Source organism: Homo sapiens, chromosome 7 (assembly GCF_000001405.40).
Source record: "Homo sapiens chromosome 7, GRCh38.p14 Primary Assembly".
Taxonomy (NCBI): domain Eukaryota; kingdom Metazoa; phylum Chordata; class Mammalia; order Primates; family Hominidae; genus Homo; species Homo sapiens.
In genome coordinates this window covers 4,303,421-4,310,194 of record NC_000007.14, presented here as the reverse complement: position 1 = coordinate 4,310,194, position 6,774 = coordinate 4,303,421, and the positions used below count along the sequence as shown (strand labels likewise).

Here is a 6,774-nt window from a genome sequence, read left to right as displayed (position 1 = left end):
TATCAGCTTGACCTCTGGATGGGCTGCAGGCTGAGCTCAGCCATGTGAGGAGTCAGCCCTGCCTATGGGATGGAGCCGCAGGGAAGCCCTGGTGTGGAGGAACCTTCCTGGCTGACCGTGTTTTGTGCGTATGATCGCACATTGTCAGAGGGGTAACGCTGTCCGCAGCTCCACAGGAGAGGACAGCAGACGCTCAGTGTGTGGAACCCTCGTGGGCTCTGCCCCTGCATGCTGATTTTAATCGGTGTCTTTTCCCTGTGATAAACCATAGCTGGGACTATCACAGCTTCCAGCGAGTTCCGAGTCTTTCCAGCAAATCGTCGAACCTAAGGGTGGTCTCGAGGGCCTCTGAACTCGCAATTGGCGTCAAAAGTGAGGGCGGTCCTGTGGACTGCTCCTGAACGCTGCATCTCCCAGGTAGCCTGGCTTCTTGCAGACACAACCCAAAGACCACGGGGACTTCGGAATCAAATAAATTGGATTCAAAGTAGAGAGAGAGCTGTCTCACCGGGGTCTCTTTGCAAGTCTCTGTGGGGAAATTCTGCTGGAGCCTGGCAGAGGCGACTTCAGAGAGAAGAGAGCAAACCTCACTGCAACACGGAGCAGAGGCCTGAAGCAGAGGGGAGAAGAACACAGGAGCTTGGAGACTTCCTATTGCCTTTCCAGAGCCTAATTACAGATGAGGAGGTGAATACAAAGATAAGAACATAATGGCATCTTTGTTTTGGGACATCCACATGAATCCAAGTGATTTAAGAAAGTCTTGGCTGGGCGCGGTGGCTCATGCCTGTAATCCCAGCACTTTGGGAGGCCGAGGTGGGTGGATCACGAGGTCAGGAGATTGAGACCATCCTGGCTAACATGGTGAAACCCCGTCTCTACTAAAAATACAAAAAAATTAGCCAGGCATGGTAGCGGGTGCCTGTAGTCCCAGCTACTCGGGAGGCTGAGGCAGGAGAATGGCGTCAACCCGGAAGGCGGAGCTTGCAGTGAGTCGAGATCGCGCCACTGCACTCCAGCCTAGGCGAGAGCGAGACTTCGTCTTAAAAAAAAAAAAAAAAAAAGAAAGTCTTGAGGCCAGGAGTTCCAGACCAGCCTGGACAACATAACGAGACTCCCGTCTCTATAAAAAATAATAATAAAAAACATTAGCTAGGCATGGCAGTGGTATACACTGTGGTCCCAGCTACTGGGGAGGCTGAGGTGGCAGCATCACTTGAGCCCAGGAGTTTGAGGCTGCAGTGAGCTATGATTGCACCACTGCACTCCAGCCTTGGTGACAGAGCAAGACCCTGTCTCAAAAAAAAGAAATTCATTTGGTTCTTTGTTCACTTCCTCCGCATGGCCTGGCATAGAGTGGATAAGGTGCTGTTGAAGGTTTTATGGATTTAATTGTGTCCGACCCTCCAAAATTCAGAAGTTGAAGTCTTAGTCCCTAGGACCTTAGAATGTGACCTTATTTGAAAATAGGGACATTGAAGATGGAATTAGTAAAAATAAGGTTAAAATGGAGGAGGGTGGGCCCCTAACTCAATAGGACTGGAGTCCTTATGAAAAGACGCCATGGGAAGAAGAGACAGAAACATGCTCAAGGAAGATGGGAGAGAAATTACCACAAGGGGGGGGGGACCACCAGAAGCTGGAGAGGGACCCGGGCCAGATTCCTTCCCTGCACCTTCAGAGGGGCGCAGCCCTGCAGACACCTGGATCTCCAGAACGGAGAGGGGATCCGCTCTCCTGTGTGAGGCCTGGCACAGTAACATGGCGAGGAGCATGGAGGGCTGGATCTGTGGGTGCTGGTGCAGGCACGAGGAGCAGCGGCACGCCGGGCACGTCAGCAAGCGTGCATGCAAGAGCCGGTGTCCGAGGTGCCCTCCAGGATGGAGGCGTTTCCGCAGGTGGAGAGAGGGAAAGGCGTGGGGCGAGGGCAGGGCTGGAGAAGACGCACAAATAATAATAACAAAACGTCGTCCAGGCCGCAGAGCCAACGGGAGGAAGGACAAGTCCAGGAACCTAGATGGAGTTGGTCAACTTGGGGCTGGTGGGGGCCACGTATCCAACTGCGGGCGGTTCCGACGGGAACAGGCTGTGCCCAGAGGCGGGGCCTGACCGGCTGCGACTATCTCACTCCAGGCAAATGCAGGAGGGACCCTGCTGTGCTTGACCTGTTGTGAAAAAGCGATTTAGTTAAATAGGTTCCAGGTGATTCCTTTGATTGCGGCCATGAGGATTTATGCAGAAAAGGACACGAACTTAAAACCCTTCATTGAGGGTGCTCTTGTGAGGGCTCCAGCCCACAGGTGGGGCGGCCAGCCGTCCTCGGTCCGTTGCTTGCCTGGGTTTCCGACGCCATCCTCCAGGCCTGCCTCATTTGTTAGGCTGTGACCCCGCAGTGAAGCTGGAATATGACTTGTTCATAACCGCAGCTGGAAAATTAAATTTTATTTTCAACACATCTTTATCCTTCTTGCCACTGATTTGCCTGGCTCTGAGCCCATCTCCCTATGGCTTTGCTTGTAATATCTGGCCATAAACCCCTCAATGTTACAGCCGCTATAAGCTGGTCCTGATGGCACGTTCCTCCATAGAGTTAATTAAATTCCGAGCACAGTGTATGAATGGAGATTATAAAACTCCTTGGCCGGAGAGAGGGGGTTGGACGCTCTTGACAGGCATCTGGGCGAACATTTGTATTTCTTTTTACGACGGCATTGACACAGAATGGGAGAAGGCCATCTGGGATTGAGTGGCAGGTGGTGCTTCCAAGGTCCTTTTGAAAATCCTACTATAGGCAGGGTGCAGTAGCTCATGCCTGCAATCCCAGAACTTTGGGAGGCTGAGGAGGGAGGATCCCTTGAGCCGAGGAGTTCCAGACCAGCCTGGGCAACATAGTGAGACCTCATCTCTACAAAAATAAAAAATAAAAAATTAGCTAGGTGTGGTAGTACATGCCTGTAGTCTCAGCTATTTGGGAGGATCACTTGAGCCCAGGAGGTTGAGCCTGCAGTAAGCGGTGATCACGCCACTGCACTCTAGCCTGGGCAACAGAGTGAGACCTCATCTGTAAAAGGAATAAATAAAAAAAATCCTATAATGCTTCCACCTGTAAATGTCTACCCTAGAGAAATGAAGACATATGCTCATAAAAGGCTTACACAAGAATGATCGTAGTGGCATTATTGGTTTTAGCTGCAAAGGGAGACCACGCAGGTGTCTGTCACCGGAGCACGGAGAAGCAATACATCTCTGCAACGGACCACCGCTCAGCAATCAAAAGGGAAAAAACAGCACAAAAATCACATACTGGATGATTCCATTTTATGAAGTTCAACCACCAGCACGACTAATCTCTAGCGGCAGAAATCAGAACAGTGGTTCCCTATGGTGCGGTGGAATCTGGCTGGGCAGGAGTGTAAGGAACTTCCTGGGGTGGTGAAAATTCCTTATCTTGACAGATGCAGGGTTTGCGCTGGTAGATTTGTTTATTAAAGCTCACGCAACTGTGCGCTGACAACCTGAGCATTTCACTCTGCAAATGTTACCTTGCAATGAAAAACTTCCACGATGACACAGCCCTGAAAGGGACCAGAGCTTAGAGCCTCCAGGGCTCTCCTGGTGCAGGACAGAACTCCTTCGGCTTGGGCCAGTGCGCCTTGGGATCACAGTGCAGAACACAGATGGGGCTCACCCTCTGGGGATCTCTGTTGTCTTCTTGCAGATCCTCTCCGGATGGGGACATACACTAGGCTCGAGTATGAAGGGTTTGCTTAATTTTAATCTACTCCTACAAAGGACATTGTGATGCGTGGAGAAGTTTTCCAGGTGATGTGGTTCACCTCCGGTATTTCTTTTTTTCTTTTCTTTTTTTTTTTTGAGACGGAATCTCGCTCTGTTCAGACAGAGTCTCGCTCCGGGCTGGAGTGCAGTGGTGTGATCTCAGCTCCCTGCAACCTCCGCCTCGCCGGTTCAAGAGATTCTCCTGCCTCAGCCTCTCGAGTAGCTGGGATTACAGGCACCTGCCACCACACCCAGCTAATTTTTGTATTTTTAGTAGAGACAGGGTTTTACCATATTGGCCAGGTTGGTCACGAACTCCTGACCTCAGGTGATCCACCCACCTCAGCCTCCCAAAGTGCTGGGATGACAGGCATGAGCCCGATATTTCTTTCTTTGTAAGCTTTGGGCTTGCAAATGTCTTTCCCACGGCTGATCTCATTCAGTGCTCACCAAAGCCCTGAGAAGCAGTTCCTGGTTTTCCTTCTGGGGGAGTCATGATGAGACAAGGCCCTCGGGGAACCCACTGTGATTTGAAGACAGCCACAGGCCCAGGCTGGACGCACCACACCACACGTGGATGAGGAGAGTGTGTATTGTCACTGAGGATGATCAGAGGGCATAGGAAACCCACTGCGATCAACTTCCCAATATGGTGGAGAAGAGCTTCCCTGGGGTTATTGAGGGCATCAGCATCCACACCAAAGGAGGGCATGACTGGTGATGACTGTAGGCCCCCAACACCCTGCATTGGAAATGACGTGGAACTTAAGAAAATAACACAGAAGAGGCAAGGAGATCAAGGAGATCTGGGAATCTCGTTCCCCACTGACCAGCCAACTCCTGGGCTCTTGTAACTGAACCGAGGTTCAGCACTTGCTGCTTAAAAGCCAAACATGATAGCTAGTGTTGGTGGGAGGAGAAGTGAGTTTATTCAGGGAGCCAGCAAAGCAAGAAGACGGTGCCCTAGCATTCTAAAGAACCATCTTGAGTCAGTACAAATTTCAGGCTCTTTTTATGTGAAGGGCAGGAGGAAGAGGAGGGGGTTGGGATCAAGAAGTGGCTGATGACCACGGACACCTAGGTGCCAGCGAGGGTTCAGAGGAGGCCGGGAACTTCTTTGCCCTTGGCCAGGTCATAGTGCTCCCACAAACCTTTTTTTTCTTTCTTTTTTTTTTTTTTTTTTGAGACAAGAGTTTCACTCTTTCTGCCCAGGCTGGAGTGCAGTGGCGCCATCTCAGCTCACCACAACCTCCGCCTCCTGGGTTCAAGCGATTCTCCTGCTTCAGCCTCCCGAGTGTCTGCGATTATAGGCGCTCACCACCACGCCCGGCTAATTTTGCTGTTTTACTAGAGACAGGGTTTCACCATGTTGGCTAGGCTGGTCTCAAACTCCTGACCTCAAGTGATCCGCCTGCCTCCGCTTCCCAGAGTGCTGAGATTACAGGCATAAGCCACCAGGCCCGGCCGCAAATCTTTAATAAAACCTAGTTAGCTGTTTACACATTTCCTCTTTCATCCCAGAGTTGGTTTCAAGAAGGACATGATTGCTGTTTTTGCGTTATTACTTCAGTGCTCTAAAATCATCCTAGCCTATGTGCAGGAGTGGGGAAAGGCCCCTTAAGCAAACGTGGAGTGGGCTGTGCTAGTTCTTTTGCTGCTTCAGTGCTACACTCTGAGCCCAGCGTAGTGTTGGACTCACCAGGCAAATCAAAATAATAAACCAGGCTGGGCACGGTGGCTCACGCCTGTAATCCCAGCACTTTGGGAGGCCGAGGCAGGTGGATGACCTGAGGTCAGGAGTTCGAGACCAGCCTGACCAAACATGGAGAAACTCTGTCTCTACTAAAAATACAAAATTAGCCGGACGTGATGGCACATGCCTGTAATCCCAGCTACTCGGGAGGCTGAAGCAGGAGAATCGCTTAAACCCAGGAGACGAAGGTTGCAGTGAGCTGAGGTCGCACCGTTGCACTCCAGCCTGGGCAATAAGAGCAAAACTCTGTCTCAAAAAAGAAAGAAAGAAAGAAAGAAATATAGCAATGAAAATGAATGAATGAATGAATGAATGAATGAATTCATCCACACAGCATGAGGGAATGTGCATGACATGGAGTAAAGCAGGCCAGAAACAAGACAACTGGTATACCATTCTATTCACATAAAGCTCAAAAACAGGTCAGACTTACCTATGGTGATAGAGGTTAAGGAGTGGTCACCCAGCAGAGGGTGGCAGGGGGAGGAAGAAGTAAGGAGGAGCATGGGAGAACATTCTGGAAGCTGGGAATAGCCTATATCGTGATTTGGTTGATGGCACACAGGTAGGGACATATGGAAAAAGGCACTCAATTGTACATTTAAGAGGTGTGTGGTTTACTGTATATGAGGGATAGCTTAATACAAGTGTGGATTTTTTTTTCTTTAGAGATGGGGTCTTGCTCTGTTGCCCAGTCTGGAATACAGTGGCACAATCATGGTTCACTGCAGCCTCAACCTTCTGGACTCAAGCAATCTCTCGCCTCAGCCTCCCGAGTTGCTGAAACTATAGGTATGCACCACCACATTTAGCTAATTTAAAAATATATTTTGTGTGTGTGGAGATGGGGTCTTGCTATGTTGCCCAGGCTAGTCTCAAACTCCTGGACTCAAGGGATCCTCCTGCCTTGGCCTCTCAAAGCACTGGGATTACAGGCATGAACCACTGCCTGCCACCTAAAAGTGGTGTGTAAAAAAAATAACCAAAAGCTATTATCAAACAGAAAAAAAAGGACAATTCAGGTAATGAACAGAACTAGGTTCCAGTAATTCACTGAGGAAACTGCTTCCATCTGTTTAAAAGAACAAAGTCTTACCTTTGAGTCATTCTTATCCTTACACCAGCTTCCTGAGGCAGAAACGTACATCTCTGCAAAAAGATTTGTCCAAGTCCTTATCCGCCGCCTCACCCCTCACCCGTTTCCACACCACCGAAGGCTGCAACATCCTCATCGGTCCTGGGCT

General features: G+C 50.0%; 1 annotated feature.

Annotated features, from left to right (window-relative positions):
* Positions 2,074-2,816: an enhancer, noted in NCBI's record as "OCT4-NANOG-H3K4me1 hESC enhancer chr7:4347010-4347752 (GRCh37/hg19 assembly coordinates)". NCBI's record gives its function as "activates a minimal SCP1, AML or CMV promoter by ChIP-STARR-seq in naive H9 embryonic stem cells {active_cell/tissue: H9 hESC(naive)}" and the evidence as "EXISTENCE:reporter gene assay evidence [ECO:0000049][PMID:30033119]".